The 21,643-nt window shown below is 44.5% G+C and overlaps 1 protein-coding gene and 1 pseudogene across 5 annotated transcripts in view; both read left to right on the top strand.

Moving 5' to 3' along the window:
• FRMD4B (FERM domain containing 4B) overlaps window positions 3,495-21,643 on the top strand; it is a 373,805-nt gene continuing 355,656 nt past the window's right edge. For 3 of the 5 annotated variants that reach the window (XM_017005993.2, XM_047447767.1, XM_047447771.1), the window contains exon 1: window positions 3,495-3,875. The gene's annotated coding sequence lies outside the window, so the exon portion shown is untranslated. Of the gene's footprint in view, window positions 3,876-4,803; window positions 4,927-21,643 lie in introns of those variants that run through there. The other 2 variants (XM_047447769.1, XM_017005991.2) reach the window with 1 other exon arrangement.
• H1-8P1 (H1-8 pseudogene 1) lies at window positions 9,746-10,541 on the top strand (annotated as a pseudogene).

Genomic DNA, 21,643 nt, shown 5'->3' with positions numbered 1-21,643 from the left:
CTGAGATCAGGAGTTCGAGACCAGTCTGGCCAACATGGTGAAACCCTGTCTGTACTAAAAATGCAAAAATTAGCTGGGCAAGGTGGCACACCCCTGTAATCCCAGCTGCTGGGGAGGCTGAGGTGAGAGAATTGCTTGAACCTGGAAGGTAGAGGCTGCAGTGAGCTGAGATGGCGCCACTGCACTCCAGCCTGGGTGACAGAGTGAGACCCCATCTTAAAAAACAAAAAAAAAAAAACAACTTCTCCAATAAGCATATATCTATACTTAGTACAGATATATAAATAAATAAATATAAAAATAACTTTAAATTTAGAAAATAAAATATTTATGATACATGTTCTTATTAATTCAATAGCTGAATCTCATGTCACACTCCTTCATACTGTATAAGACTGAGGGCTTGAAATGGGGGTCTGGGGAATTTCTAACACCCTCTTGCATCAAAACTATTTTATTATATATACAGCAGTGTGTGGGCCCTGATTTTTCACCTGGAAATTATATATTTCAAGACAGAATTGTTTCCTCTTCATCCTCCTTGCTGTCACTTTGTCCATGTATATTTGTCTCATCACAACAACTAAATTATGAGCTTCTGAATGACAAACCTCATTTCCTTTATCTTGTTTGTTGCAGTTTTTTGTGTGTTTGTTTGTTTGTTTTGGCATAGTACCTATCCTAGAGTTAGGTATTTACTAGTCACACAAAAAGTAAAGGATGTGTTGTTTTCCCTCTGGATGTGGTTCCTGCAGCCAAGTCTATAATACAGAATCCAAATACGTAGTCCATGAGTAGGTTTCAGGTAGTTCCTACGGACATCCTATGGACATTTCGGTGATTCCAATCCCTACTGTATAATGATTTCACCTACAAAGCTTTAAGAAAATCCTGATGCCCAAACTCCACCCCCAGAGATTCTAATATAATTGTTTCCAGTATTGAAAACAAACAAACAAATAAAGAAAAAACATCCCCAGAACTCTAATATGCAGCCAGGTTGATAATTCTATATTAGGATAAAATAAAGGAAAAAAAGTTTTTGCAGGTTCAATTGTGTTGTGGTTTTAATTTTGCTGTTTTCCATAAATATTCCATAAATATTTATTCTATAAATATTTATTCTATAAATATTTATTCTATAAATATTTATTTTTCAGAAGATGGAATTTGGAAAGAAATCAGCCTCTGTCCTTTAATAATAATAGCTAGTATTTATTAAGCATTTATCATGCATGAGGCACTATTCCAAATGCTTTCCACATATTAACTAATTTAATCCTTACAATACCCCTGTAAGTAATGCATTATTATTAACCCTGTTTAACAGAAAAAGAAAATGAAGCCTAGAAAGGCTGAGTATTTTGAAAAGCTGGGCTTCAAACCCACATAGAACAAACCTGGAGCCCCCATTTTTAAGCCAAAGCCCCTTTGCTCCAAGAAAATCCAGTAAATATCCCACATCTTCAAGGAAATTCTTCTGGACTACTCTCACCAATAAAGATAAACCTTTCTGACATCTCTTACATTGCATTTTCATGTAATAGTCTGTATCCAGTTTTTTCCCCAAACATAATAAATGCCACACACTTCTTAGATGCCCAGCCTTAAGCTGGGCATTTTACCTGCATTGTTCCATTTTGCCCTACACTCTGTAGTGTTTTCTAATGACTATGCTACATGTATTTATTTTCTCTCTGGAGAAATTGTGGCATTTGTGAGCACTGGGCAAACCATTATTCATTGCATCACTCCCCTACCTGGGGTCCTTATGCTCCAATACCTGTTGAATAGATTGTATTGTGCAACGGGTAGCGAGTTACCAGACCTGCATTTATAGATAGGCACTGCCACTTTCTAGTTTCATACTATCAGGCAGGTCAACTAACCTCTCAGAGCCTCAGGTTCCTCCTTAGTAAAACAGGGCTCCCTTAACTCAACTGACACTGAATAGCCATTGCTATGTGCCTGATGCTGAACAAGGCGAACATAGACCCTGGCCACAGGGGGCTTTCAGTCCACTCCCATTCTCCCAGGAGAACGCAATAAGATGATGCCAAGAGAAGTGCTTATTTAGCTCAAGTCTTGGGGACAGGGTGGGGAGGCCGGGCGTGTAATTACCACTCAATAAATGTTAGCTATTCATTCAATATATTCTATTTAATTAAAAGCAAACAATCCATTCAACATCAGAAGCAAATGTAATTAAACCTCATTCTGCACACATACAATATTCCGCAACATGCTATCTTGAACCTTTACTACTTCAGATCTTGCTTGCTACTTGCTCCCTCATGTCAGTAGCAGCTACACCAGGGCCTGTGAAATCAAGATGCCCCGTGCCCCCATTCTTTTTCTAGGCTGGTGACCTGTCAAAAAGGAAGGGAGGAAGGGGGAGAAAGACGGGTAGGGGAAGTTGGAGGAGAAGGAGGAAGAAAGGCCAAAACCACGGTCACAGAAACTGTGGAGTCTTTAAAATATTGATATTGGATAAATCAATTTAATTTTCAACAAAAATCCAAAGCTATGTGATTGTGTAGTTGTGAGACAATTATTTTTAAAAATGGATTTGCTTTTTAAAATAAATTAATTCATAGTGTGTAGAGAAAAATTAATTCACGGTGTATGGAGAAGTGAAGTCTGGTCACGGGACATACATTTAAGGCTGTTTGGGAAATATTTTCTCCCAGCCCTGTCGGATCACCTTTGGTTCTCTCCTTGTCAGCTCATTTGAAGAGAATATAAAAACTCTCAATAGGAAGTCGTTCATGAAGAATCCTCCTTTCCTCTCCTTCCTCTCCCATTTGCTGTGTTACACTCAGCACCAGATCAAGTTGGAATCTCTGCCCTGTCACTCATCAGCTATTTTGAGCTAACCTCTCTGAGCCTCCCGAGTTTCATGTAAAGAACGCATAATAAAACAAAAATTGTTCTTAGGGATAAATGCCTGATATGGGATAGACTCGCCTTTTTTTTTTTTTCTTTCTGTCTTCAAGTGCAATGGTTTCAGATTTGCAGGGATCTCAGGAGTCATTTCGCCAGCCCCTCTTGGGTGGCTGGGTGCATTCTGCGCCTCCCTCTGCCACCGGTGCCTCATACCCTTTATTCTAACAGCACTCAGGTCCTGGGATGCCTGAAGCCGGTGAGGCAGAATCAAGTTCCGCCCAGAGCTTGGAGGAGTCGGAGGGAGCGATGGAGAGGCGCGGGCTGGTGACCCCCTCTTTCCCCTCCTCCTGGCAGGCACCGCTCCGCGCCTCCTGGCACCGGCGCCCTTTCTCTGCCGGGGAAGGCTAGCCCAGCCCGCAGCCCCGTGCGGCGGGGGCCGAGGGCGCCCCCTCCCTTCCTCCCTCTCCCCCTCCCCTTCCTTCCCTCCCGATACAATGACTGGGCCGGAACAGCGCATCAGCCGAGCCTCATTGGCAGCGGCCGCCCCAGCCCCCGGAGAGGCGGCGGGCGGGGGCTGCTGGGGAGAGAGGGAGCCGAAAGCCCCGGCTGACAGCGAGAGGAGGCAGGCAGGACGGAAGGACGCGAGAAAGGCGGCCCGGGGCACAGCTGTAAGTGTGGAGCAAAGCGAGGACGCACGGCGAGCGGCGGTGGCGGGGGCGACCTGCAGACCCGGGCCGGGGGATGCGGCAGGCGCTGGCTGCCCAGAGAGCCCGGGAGTCGGGCTGCGTAGCTCACGTGCTGAGCTGGAGCTTGGACAGAGAGGAAGAGGAAGAAGAGGAAGGCAGCCGCCGCCGGGGAAGGCACAGCGCAGAGTGGACTTGCAGGACTGGCGCAGAGCCGGGTCCCCAGGTCCCGCGCGGTGCGCAGCCGAGACAATAAAGTAGCCGTCTACAGCCCCGGAGCGCCGCAGGGAGGAGGTGGCGGAGCAGGTAGGTGGGCGACCGCCCCGGGCTCCCCAAGCGTGCTGCCAGGGCGAGGCCGCAAGACGCGGCCACGGGCGCGCCCGGTGCGCCCCGGGCGCAGCGCGCACGTTTGGAGACCCCCAGCGGAGGTGCGGGTCCCAGGAGTTTGGGAGAGCGGAAAACCCCGCCCTGGGGCTCGAGGTCTAGTGCAGCCTCCGCTGGAGTCCCTGGGGCACTTGGCACGGCGCTTTGGTCGCTTTGGTGGTATGGAGACAGGAAGTTTGGCGGTTTCGAGGCGTTGGCGTTGGTGGGGTTTGCAAACGCGCCGCCGGGGACCGCGTGCTTCGGTTGCCGCGCGTTCGTGGGAGGTCGGGAGAAAAGCTGATGAAGCCCAGATCTGGCCCCCAGAGATACTTCTAAAAGGCAGCGAAAAGAGGGGGGGGAAATCCCTGGAGTTAGCAGAGGACACTAAGGGTTTCGTTTGGCTGCCCTTTTCAAATAGGTGTTTCAGATCCTAGCCGCTCCTATGTTGGAGAGGCAGTGTGCATGTGAATAGCTTCTTATTTTGTGGAGTATTTCACTTTTCATTTTCATCTGGGGAGGAAAAAATAAATATAATCTTTAGCTCCTACTTTGAGAAATGCCATTTCGTTTGGAATAGAGGACAAACTCTTCCCTTGCATTGGATGTCCTGTGCTTTGAAGGATACTGAACAGTGCCTGCTCTTGTTCACAAAAGGGGTGAGACGTGTATTAAATCTTCTCCCGCCTGAGAAAGCAGCCGCAGGAGGAGGTCTCTCTCTCTCTCTCGCTCTCCTTTGTGTGGCCGCTTCCTTCCAGATGTGAGAGGGTTGGGCTGGGCGCTCCTGGGTGGGGTAATAATTATCCTGAACATTCCTGCGATCTGTTAGGACTTGTAAACATACCAGAGCCAAGTCCTCTGAACTTCGCGAACTGATTTGGTGTGTTTGCTGGTACCCAGACGGCTGCGACTAGAGGCTGGGCCTTTCGGGAAGAAAGACCTTAGGGTGCTGATGGCAGCAGTCTTTCCGGGAAGCTGGTTGATCCTTGAAGATTAGGTAATGTCGCCCCAGAAATTTACTAGCCAACTCGAAAGATGTGTACAAGATTATAGCGCGATCCCCGACGTGCTGTTTCCCGTCCTAAAGGGAATGGATCTGTGGGGTTTCCAAATCAAATGTCTAGAGGGGAAGAAAAGCAGCTTCGCCTTACTTAACCTCATCAAGACGCACTTTCATATGTCATACACATGCTGTGAAGAGTGGTGGTTTAGAGAGCTTACTGTGTGCCAGGCATCCTGGTAGGCACTTTTGGGGCATCATCCATAATCCATGAAGTGGTAAACCTAGCCCTTGAGAGAGGTTAAGTAACTTACCGGAAGTCCCACCAGTAATCTGTGGTTTATGTAAGATCTAATTTCAGATGCCAGGCTCTTAACAAGACAGTGCCTCCGAAAGGGATGTGCTGCAGTGGTGGTGGTAATGAGTATGAAGAAAATAATAACAATAACAATAACTGCCGTGTGTGTGTGTGTGTGTGTGTGTGTGTGTGTATATATATATATATATATATATATTTTTTTTTTTTTTTTTTTTTTTTAGAGACAGAGTCTCACTCTGTCGCCCAGGCTAGAATGCAGTGGCCGATCTCGGCTCACTGCAACCTCTGCCTCCCGAGTTCAAGCGAGTCTCCTGCCTCAGCCTCCCGAGTAGCTGGGATTACAGGCGCATGCCACCACGCCTGGCTAATTTTTTGTATTTTTAATAGAGACGGGGCTTCACAGCGTTAGCCAGGCTGGTCGCCATCTCCTGGCCTTGTGATCCGCCCGCCTCGGCCTCCCAAAGTGCTGGGATTACAGGGGTGAGCCGCGGCACCCGGCCTATATATTTTTAATAAATTTAAAAAGATGATATTTAAGAGAGATTGACACTCAGTAAGCACTCTGTATATATTTTTGTCTCTAAATTAAGTGTCACAAGACAGGTGGTGGATGTATTGGTGTTTCTACAATTCTTCCTTTTTTTTTCCTTCGAACTCTGTCACCCAGAGTGGAGTGCAGTGGCGCGATCGCGGCTCACCGCAACCTCTGCCTCCCAGGCCCATGCGATTCTCTTCCCTCAACCTCCCTTGTAGCTGGGATTACAGGCATGTGCCACCAAGCCCGGCTAATTTTTGTATTTTTAGTAGAGACCGGGTTTCACCATGTTGGTCGGGCTGGTCTTGAATTCCTGACTTCAAACCATCCACCACTCGCCTCAGCCTCCCAAAGTGCTGGGATTACAGGCGTGAGCCACAGGGCCCGGCCAATTCTTCCTTTTTGTAATCTGAAAATGTTGTAATAAAAAGTAACACGCACACACACACACACACACTGTTTGAACACACCTTTTTTGAACAGTGCTTACATTTCCTAAAAGGTTGAGAAAAATTTAGGCAACTCCAAGGACTTACTGAATGGTAGAAGTTTAATCACTTCTTTGTGACATCTGCAAGTAATATTAATCAACCATTTTATTTGCTTAAATTCAGAAATGCAGGTGTAATGCATTTAAACAATATGGTGCTGGAACATGAAAAAATTACCTAAATACCGTATTTTGAGGTTTAGTTTTCATTATCCATGGGAAAGTTCTCAGAAGATTTTTCCCCTGCAAGTGATCATGGTGATCACGATCCTGTTTTCCTGTATTAAACTTCACTTTGTTTTGAAATTAATAAATTTCTATCTTAGTGGCAGAAAAGTGAATGGGCTTTTCAAACAGGCAGATGGTTGCATTTGAGCCTAATCTAGAAAAGTGTGGGAGGAGTTAACTTCACAGCCACTCCCAAGTGTCAAATCAGCTGAAGTTTTCTCAGTAATGTTTATTGTCGCTGGCCTCTAGTTTCAGCAAGCCTGAGAATCCTAGTTCTCCGTTTGATTCCACAGATTTAATCAAGACTCTGCATGCTTTGAGCAGACAAAAAGAAAGTTTTGGCTAACTTACAATACAAATAGGGTACATGGAAAACAGTTAAAAACACCCTGCCTTATCCAGCCTGCAGTAATTTTCTAGCAGGAAATCTTCATAGTTATCTTACACACATAAGTGAAGGTTTGAGGCTTATACTGCAAGTGATCTCTCGCTCTATCTCTCCCTTTAAATCTGCCCCAGAGATCTGATCTTATCATGAATGCACTATTTTTATATGTTCGGGAGTGCTGAGGCTCACTGAAATGACTGTCATCAGCCTATAGATAAGTAATGTACTCAGCTCATCAGCAGGTCTTACATGTATCTTCCTTTACTTACATATCTCTCCCTTTTTCAATGTAGTTGTTATTTGTTTTAGATGGAAGACTTTTGGAGGATAATTCATTTATTTCTAAGTCAGTAAGATTTTTTTTTCTCCTCTTCTGCCAAATATGTGCCGTGGGCAGTCAGAGAGAAGTGGTAAGATAACAATTTTCTGTTGCTAGATGCTTGATAAACCCTCTAGGTAATTTAGGAGCCAAATCTCTTATTCTCCCCAATGACTGGATTTACTGAAATTATCATGTCATTTTTTATCTCATGCTTCCTGGTGAAATCAATTTTTAAACTAATCTCATAAGACAGTGTTTTTTCAATATGAAGGTCATAAAATCCATTTAGTGGGTTACTACCAGTAATTTTTTTTAGGTATAACAAGACAGCAAGTGTCAGCATCATCATATGTTATAAGAGTTCTGTAATTTCATGAGACTTTGAGTCACTCCTATGTGCATTCTGGGTTGCAGTATAAAATGTGATTCTTAGCCATCAAAAAGTTTGAAAAGTACTGCCACAGGATGCATGTGTCTGTTAGTGCTATTTTGCTAATAAGTTACAAACCCGATTTTAAGTGGAATTAGGGTATTATGTATATGCATATATACAATATATATTTTTTTCTTACATATGGGTTCAGGTTACTAAAAGGTACTTCGGTAGGACTGACTTCAAGAGCGTCTTGCTTAGGGCTAAACAGTGACTTCAGGATCTGATTTCTTTTCATTCCTCAGGTCTGCCTTTTTCTTCTTTCCTCTGTGTATTGGGGTCCTTCTTGGGTGACAAGACGACCATATAGCACTTGCTCGTTTACACAGTTTCAAGTTCAAGTCCAGCAACCAAAGAACTCCCCTTCCCCAGTTGTTGAACAAAAAGTTTCAAAATGAGCTATGATTTGCCCAGTTGGCACGGCTGGAGGAAATCTGTGCTAAGTGGCTTCTGCAGAGGTTGAGGGCTTTGCCCCAGCAATGGAGTCCTACCCAGACCATGTAGACAGAGGACATCAAAGGGCTGGACTGCCACATGAATACAGTTGCAGGAAAAGGGGGAAATTAAGGCTAAGAAAGTCTGGAATAAATGTTCACCACAGGGTACAAGTGCCTAATGCACACAGGCTGATTTCTCTTCTTTTTGATGCCCCAAATAATGGAAAATGAGCTGAATTGTATTCAGGCAAATAGATTATCAATATGATTTTTCATGTGTATAAGGAAAACCTTAGCTGTCACTTTTAGCGTGGTCAATATCAGGACTTATGAGATCAAGATGCAGAACAAGTCAAATTGATAGTAGTTACTTTATTTTCCAATGACACTGAGAAGAAAAAGGCAGATATATTGATTAAAAACCCACAACAGTCCCAAAACCTCTTACAAGGGGGTGATCGTGATCCTGTTTTCATTTATGTGCAAATCTTGGAAGACATTTATTTGAATCAATTTGCCATGCTAATCTAGTGAAAACAGTTATTTAAGTAGTGTCTTAGAGCAAAGTATTTGAAGAATACACCTCCTTAAAGCCTAGGGCAAATGAGTGCTCTATTCTGCAGCTCTTCAGCCTTGAGGTCTTTATTTGGGTCTGTGTTATTTTTTCCTTAGAGATGTGCTGCTTTTAATTGTCCTCTGTCACTTTACGTACAGTTTTCCAGTGGGAAAGGGGGCCTAGTGTGTACAGCTGTGAGGACAATGTTCACTCACAGCAGAGGGGCCCTAGAAGCAGGGCGATCGTGCTGGCTTCCCTGGGTCAATCCTGGTTAATGTCTATGCCTTCAGTTTGGACGATAAATTATGTGGCCACCCCATGTGTAAAGGCTACTATTTTAGGGGGCCGTGACTAGGCATCTATTTAATAGATTAAATTATCTGATAAAGAATTCCTGGTGGGGTGCAGTGGCTCATGCCTGTAATCCCAACACTTTGGGAGGCCAGGGCAGGAGGATTCCTTGAGCCCAAGAGTTCAAGACCAGACTAGGCAACCTAGGAAGACCTCATTCCTACTTAAAATTTTTAAAATTACCTGGGTGTGGTGGCACATTCCTGTAATCCCAGGTACTCAGAAGGCTGAGGTGGAAGAATCACTTGAGCCCAGGAGGTTGAGGCTGCAGTGAGCCGTGATAGTGCCATTGCACTCCAGCCTGAGCGACAGAGCAAGACTCTGTCTCAAAAAATAAAAAATTAAAAAAATTAAACTGAGGAAGTCCTTACCATAACTGAAGGATAAAACTACTGATGCCTCCCCTCCTGGGAGTGTCACCAGTGACATCTCACTCTCCTCGACTTCCACAGCAGGATCATCCAGGTCTCCTGAATCTGAAAAGCCAGGCCTGAGCTGCAGCAGCTTCCCGGTGGCATGCCGCCTCCTGCCCTCTCACCATCCCCCCTATTCCCCACCCCCCGCACGGTGGTAGAGGCGCTGCAGGCTGGGGAGTAGCGCTAGGGCACGTTGGCGGTGGCCGTCAAGCTCTACATCCTGCACAAGTACCCAACGGTGGACGTCCTCCGCTTCAGGTATCTGCTGAAGCAGGCGCTGGCCACTGGCATGTGCCGCAGCCTCCTCGCCAGGCCCCTCAACTCCGAAGCAAGGGGGGCCACTGGCAGCTTCAAATTAGATCCCAAGCACAAGAGGAAAATCCAGCCCAGGGAGATGGCCCCCTGATGGTCCCCAGGAGAGCGGAAAAGGCCAAGGGGAAGGACGCCAAGAAACCAAGTGAGGCCAAGGAGGATCCTCCTAACGCGGGCAAGGTGAAGAAGGCAGCGAAGAGGCCAGCAGAGGTGCAGAAGGCTCCTCCCAAGCCAGGTGCAGCCACAGAGAAGGCCGGCAAGCAAGGCAGTGTGGGCAAGGACACCAGGCCACAGCCCGGTGAGGCTAGGAAGGCACCCCTAAGCCAGACAAGGCCACGCAGGTCCCTTCCAGTGCCAGCGGGCTTAGTAGGAAGGCAAAGGCCCGAGGCAGCAGGAGCAGCCAAGGAGATGCTGGGGACCACAGGAAAATGAAAGCTGGGAGTAAGAGTTCAAAACCCACTGTCAGCAAGGTCAAGAATGGCATTGCTTCCTCGACCAGAAGGTGGTAGCCAAGACCAAGGCTCCTAAAGGGGCAGCTGCCCAGGGGCCAAACACCAAGGCTGCTTCTCCTGCTAAGGGCAGTGGGTCCAAGGTGGTGCCTGCACACCTGTCTAGGAAGACAGAGACCCCCAAGTGCCCGTGAAAGGCTGGACTGCCCATTACGGTCTCCTCATCTGACGTATCTAGCCAGAGGGCTGTATCCTAGGGCCGGAGGCAGGGGCGGAGAGACCGAGCCACTGCCCTGATTTTTATTCTTCAGCAAACCACTGCTTTATTTATTTCATTGTAAGCTATTTATCAATAAAGACTTTTGTTTCTTCTGCCCTGGCCCGCCACCCCCACCACACACACAAAATCTTGTGCAGATGTAAAGGCTCAACAAATAATAGTAGAACTAATGGTAACGATAGCAGCACATGGTTACCAATTCACCTGTGCTGGGAATTGCTCTGTGATGTCCATGAGGGTGCCCTCATTCAATGCTCACCGCACCCTATGAGGTGGGGACTCCTAACACCCCTCACTGTACAGCCAAGGAAACTGGTTGTGAGGTTGCCACTTGGCCAAAATCACATAATATTTGTTGAGTTGGCAAAGTCTGCATGTTGACTAGTATTTTATAAGAAGGCAGGACAGGTCATTGTTGTGAATACTGGTTGTAGCTTCAGAGGATCTACACTCAGATCTATCTTTGCTGCTTACTAAATGTGTGCTTTGACCAAGTGACTTAACCTTTTTTTGTGCCTCAGTTTCTTCATCTATAAAGTGGGGATTATAAGAATTCCTACCTCATCAGGTTATTTGGAGGATTAAATGACAAAATATAAAGAAGTGTTTCATGTAGTGACTGCTGTGGAGTAAATACTAAAAAAAATTCTAGCTATTATTATTTGTGCTTTGTGGAGGCTAGGAAAAAATAATAATTCATATTATTTGTTGAACACCAACTATGTGCCACATTTTAAGCTAGGCATTTTTCAGTTGTTTTCTTTCTTCTTACAAATCCTTTCAGATGGATGTTATGTCCACTTATTGTCCATTTGACAGATGAGGAAAACTGAGATTTAATGAAATTAACAAGTAATGGAGCTTTAATTTTAACTTCAGGTCATTCTGACTCCAAAGCCTTTGATCTCATAATTATAATGTCATATTTTTTGACTTGGAAGGGAGCCTTGAGATGAGCTAACCCATAAAAATGAGCCCCAAAGAGAGTCTGTGACATGACAAGTCATTAAGGGATGGTGCAGGGCTAGAACCCAGGTTTTCAGCCTCCCACAACCATCTCTGTCTTGAAGACAAATGCATTCACCCCATAGGGTAACCATGCTGAGTAGGCACAGATACAGTTCAGGAGCACTGGACTTAGATGTCTTCTAATCCAGCTACAAAAAGTCTAGAGCTGTGTTTACTAAAGTGGGTAGGTGTATCCCTGGTGGTACATGAGTTAATTTTAGATGATAGATAGAGAAACATTTTACCTTATTGACTATTTATTTTAATGTGTACCAGAAAAAAAATTCACCTAGACCTTCATGTCTTGTAAAAGATTATATTCCTTTCTCCCTTGCTGATTGAATAGTATTGCTTAGGATGAGGCTGAGAAAGAAATAGTGTCAGTGTAAAAATATGTATTAGGTAAAACATAGTGTAGATTGTACTGGAAAATGGCAAAACCTATGAAGGGAAGATGTGAATGACTGAAGTCTGGGAAATACTGGACTAGAGGGATATTTCCTGAACTTGGTGCACACAAACCACTTGGGGATCAGATTCTGATTCAGTAGATCTGGTACGGGGCCTGAGACTGCATTTCTAACAAGCTCCAGGTGATGCCAACGGTGCTGGTCTGTGGACCTCACTTTGTGTAGCAAGGGATCAGGGAACCTGGAAGATTCTTGGGCATGTATTGAGTGCTGTGGAGGATATGTAAGGCAAATCCCGGTCTCCCAGATGCGTAATCATGTTAGGAAGAGGAGATGTGAATGAACATGGGATGTGAATGAACATGGAAGGTGAACTCTCCTATCCAGACACCAATGAGAGGTATGGTGATCTGTCTGGAGTTGCTGCAGTGGCATGGTAGCAGGGGGTGCATGGGATGGTACTGCGCTTGGGCCTGAAAGATTTGCAGCAGCAGGTGGAGAGTTCCAGAGCATTTGATAAGTAGGAGGAAGGACAGAAGTTGCAGGAAAGACTCAAAAAAGGCCAAAGTGGAGATTTCAGCAACAATCTGATTAACGCAGAGAATCAGCATGGAATGTTGGATCAGAATAAGTTCCCTTTTCAAAGCACAAGCCCCACTAACTGGTGTCTGATGATAATGGCTACCTTTTATTGAGCCCCTATAAGTGCCAGGTGCCAGGCATTTGCCAAGTACTTTCCAAGCAGCATTTCATTCCATCACCACAATGACCCACAATAACCCACATTCTGCAGAAGTGGAAACTGAGGCTTGGAGTGGGCAAGTGACTTGTCCAAAATCACACAGCTAGTAAGTGACACACCTGCAATTCAAACTCAGAATGGAGTTTGTGCTCTTTGCCACCATGTTGCAAGAGTCTCTGCTTTTTGTTGTCCTTGACAGTCACAGCATGAGAGCTTGCCTTTCTCTCCCAAGAGCCTGCCTCACAGAAGATTCTAATGGTTCATCTTGTTCCAAATGAGACTATTGCCCCCTACAACAGATCCTGAACAAGCATCCAAAGTTATCAAATAGGTTGTCCTTAATCATTATTTATAAAAAATGTCATTCCTTTCTGCCTTGCTGACTAAACTATTACCAGAGTGGAATTTTTGGCATTGTAAAACTGCCCCTCAAATAAACACTGAATGTGTTGTCACAGTGAGGAGGAGCTTGGCTTTGGAAATCACTAAGTAGCCTAGACAGACAGTTATTGGAAATAATTATGCTCTTGCCACAGCATGGGGCCCGTCACAGCCCCTCCTGATTCAAAAGGTCTTTCTGGAAATACCAGCATCCATCTTCTAGCTGGTGCTTATAACAGCCGACAGTGTCAGTGGGGGACCCAACAATGGATGTGGCTGAGGATTGTTGTCGGGCTTCCCTTGTTGCACCTGACTGAGCCCATCCCATCAATTCAGTCTTTGCAAAAGAGCAGAAGGCTCATATGTGACCAGAATGCGGGACAGGCACAAAGCTTGCATGGCCAGCTTTGGCCCTGCTTCATCCAAGTGTAATACTCAACCCGAGTTCTGTCAGATAAAGGAGGGGCTGGGGAGAGAGGGGAGCTGAAATTGGCACTGGATCAACAACCAGGAAGGCCAAGTTCTGATCCTACCTTGGCAGCAGACTGACCAGAAACCTGCTTATTAGCTCTCTGGATTTGTCAAATGGGTATTGACACTTGAGATCCTTCCACCTTTAAACATTTATGCTATGAACAACCAGAAGTGTGCACCCTGCACTTTGTCTGTGTCAGCTGCACTAGTCTCACTTTAATTTTTTTTTAAATGTCAGATAGATGCACTTAAAAGGCTTCCTAAGCAGTGTATCAGTGGAAGTGTATCAGTGGAAAGTTTCAGTATAATTATTTGTCATGCAGTAAAAGTGGTATTTGTTGTAACTTGTCATATCAAATAACCTTTTAGTATTTAGACAAATCTCAAAACATTAAGAGAGTGTGGCTTATTCAGTAAATCAGAAAAGATAAGGGTATGTGGGGCCATCACGAATGAACTAACTGCATTTATTTAAATGTGCAAATTGAAATGCAGAATCCTGACAAACTAATGAAAACCATGTGCCCTTAGACTGGGAACACAGAACGCCATCCCAGTTGGGCTGTAAGACTTAAATTGAGGACATATCATGGTCATTTGCTCCAACTATGTTAAAGTAATTCAATTTGTATTTTTAAGAGAAAAAAAGTAGTGTAGTGTTTTATATACCTCCAGGTTCCCAGTCTAGCTGCTCTTTTACTGCCTGAAAGAATGGGGCATCCAGTTTACTAGAGGTCAAAAGTTTGATTCAAACATATTAAGAAGAAGAAATTGTTTTTGCAATGATTCAGCTGCTTTAAACAGTTCAGATAATGAGTGGTTCTCATTGTACTTTCTAGCACTGAGCTTGATTACACTTGGAAAAGCATACTGGAAACTGATCTTTGGTCTTTTTTGGATCTCAGAGAAAAGCTATGAAAATGATGCTGATAAAGGGTATTTAAAAATTGGCAGTTTGTCAGCAAAGGTTCATGCTATTCGATAGATGCTTTCACTAAATGATGAGTGGGAAATGTAACTTTGTCATCTTGCAGAGCCTACAATGCAAACATTTTTTCCGCCCCATGTACAGTTTCATTTACATAGTGTTGTCAAGGAATAAGTGATTTGTTTCACTTAAGTGATTTTTCCAGGTAATTGAAGCTTACCTCTTTGTGCACACATTATTCTTTGCTTAAACTTTCTTTGATGAAAACATGGCACATGGTTCTTTCCTTTTTTTTTGCTTGGTACATATAAATGTGGCTACATCTTTTCTTGACTTGGGGTTATCATGATAAAGATTGCTTTTTGTTCTGTGCCGTAATCCTGTTATTGACAGCTGAATTGTGTGGGATTGAGAGCCTGTATGTGAATAGTCACAGATCCATATTCTTTTAGAGTTACCATTATTACTAATAATATAGCTCCTCTGAGTCATTAGCAAATCCCAGGCAGGATGCTAAGAATTCATATACATTATAATCTTGGCTAAACCATCCACCCCACTCCAAGAAATGATCATTATTATTCCTCCTACTTTACAGGTAAAAATTGAAGTTTAAGGGATAAGTAGTAAGTGGTAGAGTTGAGATTTGCATCCATGTCTCTCTAACTGCAAGATGCCTGTTGCCAGTTATACTTCTTCTATTTCTCCTCTCTGCCCCTCTTTGGGTATTTCTGTCTGTCCGGTTGCTTTAAAAGCCTTTGCCCAGGTAAGGGCCCGAGATTAGGTCTGTGCCTATTTTGTGGAAATTATTGGTATGTTTTTCGTTAAGTGGAGTTCTGAAGGCATTTTTGCTGATTTCTGGGTTCCCAGACATCTGCACGGTTGCCGTTTCTAGAAGTCTAACCTGTGAATTCATCACTGTGTATGCTAAGGCTTTGGGAGGGATTATAGGATTTTCTGCATTATGATTAAGCAGCATAATCAAGAAACTTGCAGTCAGAGGAAAGCGTGGCAATTCTGTAATGCAGAAGTTGGCAGACCTTTTCTGTGGAGGGCCAGATACTAAACGTCTTAGTTCATTTTGTGTTGCTATAAAGGTATACCTGAGGCTGGGTAATTTATTAAAAAAAAAAAAAGAGGTTTTATTTGACTCATGATTCTGATGGCTGGAAAGTCCAAGATTGGGCTGCATCTGGTCAGAGCCACAGGCTGTTTCCACTTATGGTAGAAGGGAATGGGAACTGGTGTGTGCAGAGATTACATGATGAGAGAGGAGGGAAGAGGTGAGGGTTGGGGCATGCCAGACTCTTTTTAACAACTAGCTCTTGTGAAAACCAATAGAGTGAGAACTCATTCACCTTTGAGTGAAGGCCTTAATCTATTCATGAGGGATCCATCCCCATGACACAAACACTATCCATCAGGACCCACCTCCAACATCAGGGATTAAATTTCAATATAAGATTTGGTGGGGACAAACAACCCTTATCAAAGCTACAGCACTCAATAAAATAGGCTTTGTGGGCCCTATGGCCTGTATTGCACCTCCTCAATTCTGTCTTTGTAGGGCAAGAATGGCTGCAGACAATACATAAATTAATGGGTGTGGCTGTATTCCGGTTTACTTTTTATTACAAACCAAGCAGGGTATAGATGTTGGCCCATGAGCCTGTGCTTTGCCAATTCCTGTTATCATGGGAAAAAGGACCAATCAGGGTATTCTAAAAGTCTAAATAGGTAGGTGATTGAGTGTCAGTGTCAAGTAGTGGTTGTCAATCAGTGGCTCTGGAGACAGCTGCCAAAATTTGTCTCCTAATTCCACTACTACTTCAACTCAGGCAAGTATCTTAACCTCTCTGCATTTCAGTTGTCCATCTTTAAGACTGGGAAAATAATAATCCTTAGTTCATAGGGTTGCTTTGAGAATGAAAGTAATTATTTGTAAAGTACTTAGAAGGGTGCCCAGGACACAATAAGCACTATCTAACTTCTGTGAAATTAAGAATAGTAAGGAATCCATTTCTAGTGAGACAAAATATTTAGTGCTTTGATGGAAGGAAGGGAAACTTCCTTTGCTCTGAGTGCAGTGGAGGGCAGGGATAAGGCTCCTGCCCTTTGAGGATGGGTGTGGAGAGGAGAGAGTGGGCAGTGTGGGCAGCACAGTGGGGTTAGGAAGAGCTCTGGCCTGGGAGTTAAGGGAATTGGTTGCAGATCCCAGACAAGTGGTAATTTGCAGCATCCCCTGAGTCAAGTCGCTGTCCTCTAGGGCCTTGGTCTCCTTATCTATAAAATAAGGATGTTAAACTAGAGTAGTGGGTGCAAACTAATGGCCCATAGGCTACATTCTGCCTATAGACATGCTTGGTTATTCCCTAGACTGTTTTTAAAATATTTGAATCAATCAACAGCAATTACGAATCAGGAAATTCCACAAAACAATCTGGATCCTTGGTTTCTTTTAAAAATTCAGAAGCTCTAGCAACACTGGCTGCATTCTCACATGGCAGCAACGGACTAGCACAGAGCTATGGTGGCTCATGGGTTCTGTGTTGATTACTATAGCAGACGCTGCTGGTGTTGCTGGTGGCCAACCCTACATCTTTGCCCTGGCCATGGTCGTGCATACCAGCTTCACTTCCCGCTGCCAGCACCTGCATTGGTTTGTCTGAGGACTTTCTCTGACTGTGGAAGTGGTGGGCTGGAAATGCAGGGGAATTAGCATCCACTCCCTCCAGTGATGAACAGGGTTTGGCCTATGGATACTCCAGCTCCCTTGCTCATCCAGTGAAACTAAGGGGTGTATATTGTACACCTTTTCCCAGAGTTTCCACCATGGTGAGTATCACCATGGTGATAGGTGACTTAATAGGCTAGTACTTTTTTTTTTTTTTGGTGGCCTTATCTTTCTTGTCTCATTTATGCACTGTCCTACTATTGTTTCCTGGGATGACCTCTCAGATAAATACCTTACACTTGAATCCTTGTTTGGGGTTGGCTTCTGGAGGAATCCAGACTAAGAAAACCATAGGCTGGGTGCGGTGGCTCACGCCTGCAGTCCCAGCACTTTGGGAAGCCAAGGCAGGTGGATCTCTTGAACCCAAGGATTTGAGAGCAGCCTGGGCAACATGACAAAACCCCATCTCTACTAAAAATATAAAAAATTAATCCAGCATGGTGGCATGGGCCTGTAGTCGCAGCTACTCAGGAGGCTGAGGTGGGAGGATCACCACAGCCCACAAAGTCAAGGCTGCAGTAAGCCAGGATTGCACCACTGCACTCCAGCCTGGGTAACAGAGTGACACTGTGTCTCAAAAAAAGAAAAAAAAGAGAGAGAGAAAGGAAAAGGAAAGAAAAAGAGAGAGAGCGAGAAAGAAAGAGAGAGAAAGGAAGGAAGGAAGGAAGAAAAGGAAGGAAGGAAGGTAGGAAGGAAGGAAGGGAGGGAGGGAGGCAGGGAGGGAGGGAAGGAAACCCATAGTCGTCATAGTCCTTGCCATTGAGTCCCAATGAGAATTGCCCTTTTTTAAAAATCACACTTGAGCAGTTTTTCTTGGGCAGAGAGATATTTGTCCATCCCATGTCTATCAAAGGAGGGAAGGTAATGGACTAAATGGGCTGTGGGTTTCTGGAAGAATGAGATTCTATCTTCTTGTATAAGTAAAGAGTAGACTGGAAGATTTTATGCAAATTGCTTTCTTCACTTATTGAGATCTTGCCTCTATCAGTGTCTGCATTTGTGATTCCTTTAATAGGAGATCCCCATGGATTCTTAAAGTGAGGACCATTTTGTGGGGCATTTTGTGAGAAGCTATCAGAACCCTAAATTACCACTGGTGAATTGTTTTGACCTGCCTAAGGAGATTTATATTTTAAAAAAGAAGACTTGAGAATCAAATTTGTATTCTAATTGGGTGACCAACCATTTCTGTTTACCCAACACTAAGTAATTTTCTGGGACAAGGGACTTTTAGTACTAAAACCAGGACAGGTTGGTCACTGTACTGTAGGTGAGGTCACACATGGGACCTTTCAAAGTTCAACCTCTGAAAGATTATGCTCCTGCAATATAAACATATTTCAAAATAGCATTGTATTTTAAAAATATCCCAAATATAAAGGTGGAAATAAAAATAGCTTCTTTCTAGATTTCTAACTGCAAAAATCTGAGTAAGTTGAACAGAATGACTTTGGTTTTCCTTTTGGTCTTTGCCTCTGCTTTGCTTTTGGCTGGACTGTTGGGTAACAGCACTATTTGTTGAGGGACTTAATTTGGAAACACTGGGTATTTCCTCCTTTTCGGGACCTCCACTCACTCACCAAGAAGCAGCAGGTGCTTGGCAGGTTTGCGCTCCACCCCGGAAGGGCTCTGGGTGTTCTCTTCAAAGGGGAACCAGGAAAGGACTCCTCACCTTTGTCTAAGAGTAAAACGTTCAAATGTACATTTATTTGTCCCTGAGTTCCCTGTAATCCTTTTTTTCCTGCATTTTCATCTATTTTTAGTGATGTTGTATTTTACCCAGAGATGAACTTGTGAAAATCTTTACCCCCAAATTAAAAGTGTGTGTCACAGCTGAATGGGGGAGAGAGAGAGACCCATGCCCCAGGACGGAGGACACAAATAGCAAAGGGTGTGAATGGCACCAGAATGTGGGAATCTCTGAGGATCAGAAGCCAGATGTGGTATCTGCAGAGCACAGTAGGAAAGAAAGACCTGGGAATTTGAAGTTTAAAATGGTTTCATGTATCAAGTCAGGAAATTTAGGCCCTGAAGTGGATATGGGAGGCGCAGTGGAAAAGTTTTAAGTAGATTTGGAACCAGGAAGATATTTGTGTTTGAATCCAAGATCTGTCACTTAACCACCTTTTTAACCTTGTGCAAGTCAGGAAACCTTCCTGAGTTTCAGTTTCCTTATTTGTAAAATGGAGACAGGAGGGAAGAAAGCTAACTCCTGTTGAGTGCCTGTTATGTTCTCGGGACAGTGTTAGGGAAATCAGAGGAATTGTTTTATTTAAAGCTGTCCAGTCCTGCAAGGTAGGTATAATTGGCCTCATTTAATAGACCAGAAAATGGAGGCACCGGAGCCTAACAATTTTCTCGGCCCCACACAGCTGGTAAGTGATGAAGCCGGAATTCAAATCTGGGTCATTCTGACTGCAGAGCCAATGCGATTTTTATGGTGCCAGCCTGTTGCCTCCGTGTGGGGCTCATAACTTACTCCACAGCGGTGTCTTATTCAAGTTCGTCCAGAAGCAGATCCTGAGATAGACTACAAGTAGTTTATTTAGGAAGCCTGGGAAACATCAGTCAGGCAGTCAGGAAATGAGACAGGGAATGGGAGGCAGCCCCTGAAAAAGTGTGTTATCAATTCAACTACCACTGTAAGCTATTAGAGCTTGTTCACACTGGGGAGGCTCTGGGAACCAGTGGAGTGCATGTACCTCTGAATTTTCCCATCTGAGGAAAAATCCGAGGGAGCCAAGGTATTTATACACCAATTCCTGAGAGTAGTTAACTGAGGGCTACTTCTGGGAGGTGGAGTGTTCTAATAATTTGTAGGTGCATATGTTGTATCCCGTGCTTGGCAAAGTAGGACTCTAGCAGCACAAGAAAGTCCTCAGCAGAGAAATTCAGGTGCTGGCAGTTGGAAGCAAGCCACTGTGCTCTGAAATGGTAAGGACAAAGGAGTGGGAGGGATGCCGAAAGCACCTGCTATGGTGGTTTTAAGAATTAGAAACAGGCCGAGCATGGTGGCTCACACCTGTAATCCTAGCACTTTGAGAGGCCAAGACAGGCAGATTGATTGAGCCCAGAAGTTTGACACTAGCCTGGGCAACATGGCAAAACCCCATCTCTACAAAAAAAAAAAATACAAAACTTAGCCAGGCATGGTGGCACACATCTGTAGTCCCAGCTACTCAGGAGGCTGATGTGGGAGGATCACCAGAGCCCAGGGAGGTTGAGGCTGCAGTGAGCCGTGATTGTGCCACTGCACTCCAGACTGGGTGAAAGAATGAGGCTCGGTCTCAAAAGGAAAAGAAAAAAAAAGATTAGAGACAATATGTACAGTGGCAGGCTTCAGGCTACCATTTATAAAGAATCTACTATAAGTGTGCAAATAACAGCAAGAAGACTTTTGAGGGCTTAGCCTGGGCCTTTGTGAATCCTCAAAGCCTACATACAGTGGATCTGCATGTGTTGATTATGAACTTCTGATAATGCCGGGCCTGCCCAGCCCACCACTTTGGCCTGTTTCCTGCAGTGCTTTTCAACAGTGACTCCATCCCTCTGAGGTACCATCAAAACATCTACCACCTTGGGATCTGGGTCCAGAGGGAGGAGCCAGAGTGGGTATTTTCAGCACAAAGACCCAGCCACCTCCTCCTGCTGTCCAAAAACCCAACATCTACCCATCCTGTGTGCTCTGAGAAAGGGGAGTCTGAAAAAAGACTGTGAGCTCCATCATGGCCAAGAGCCAGGAGGATAAATGTATAACTTGGGTGGCAGGATTAGCAAGAACTTTTGTTTTATTTTTCTTATGACAATAACAGCTTGTTTTCCTTTCAGCTCTCATGGTCACTTTTTCTTCTAGTATATGATTACTGAACACTGCCCCAGTTGCAGTTTTGGGCTGTCCCACTTCCATTCTGCCTGCTCTCCATTAGCAGAGTTCCCCATTTTGTGTGGTCTTGGTTGGGCAGTGCCCAGCTCTTCCTCTGAACCAAAGAGTCCAGTTTCTCTTCCTGTGATGCAATCTGCAAGTGTGGCAGAGACTGCTTTTTGTCCCCCAAATCCATTTCCTCTCCCACTTTTAGGAATAACCCACACCTTTTAGTTTTGTCTGGGCATGTGGCTGTCAAGGTAGGGGCGACATTTCCTAGCCTTCTTTATCACTGGTGTGGCCATGTGACCAAGCTCTGCCTAAAGGACTGTGAGAGGAAGTGTGTGCCACTTCTGAGTTATTCCCATTTAAAGGAAACACCTTCTACTTGTTCTTCCTTCCTTCCCTTGAGCTAGATTAAGGAGGTGTGGAGAGCCATCTTTAACCATAGGATGGCAGAGCATCAATATGGAAGGGATATGGGTTCCCCTACCTTTGTGTGGAGCAGAGCTGTATTACCCAGCCCCCAGCTGCTGCCAGACTGTTTTCTATTTGGACTTGGACTTGAATCAGGACTAATCTAAACCACTCTCCCTTGGTCTTTATTAAAACCAAGCACCTACATTCTAACTGATATAAAGCCTCAACACATGACAGCT

Source organism: Homo sapiens, chromosome 3, assembly GCF_000001405.40.
Source record: "Homo sapiens chromosome 3, GRCh38.p14 Primary Assembly".
Taxonomy (NCBI): domain Eukaryota; kingdom Metazoa; phylum Chordata; class Mammalia; order Primates; family Hominidae; genus Homo; species Homo sapiens.
This window is presented reverse-complemented; position numbering and strand designations above follow the sequence as displayed.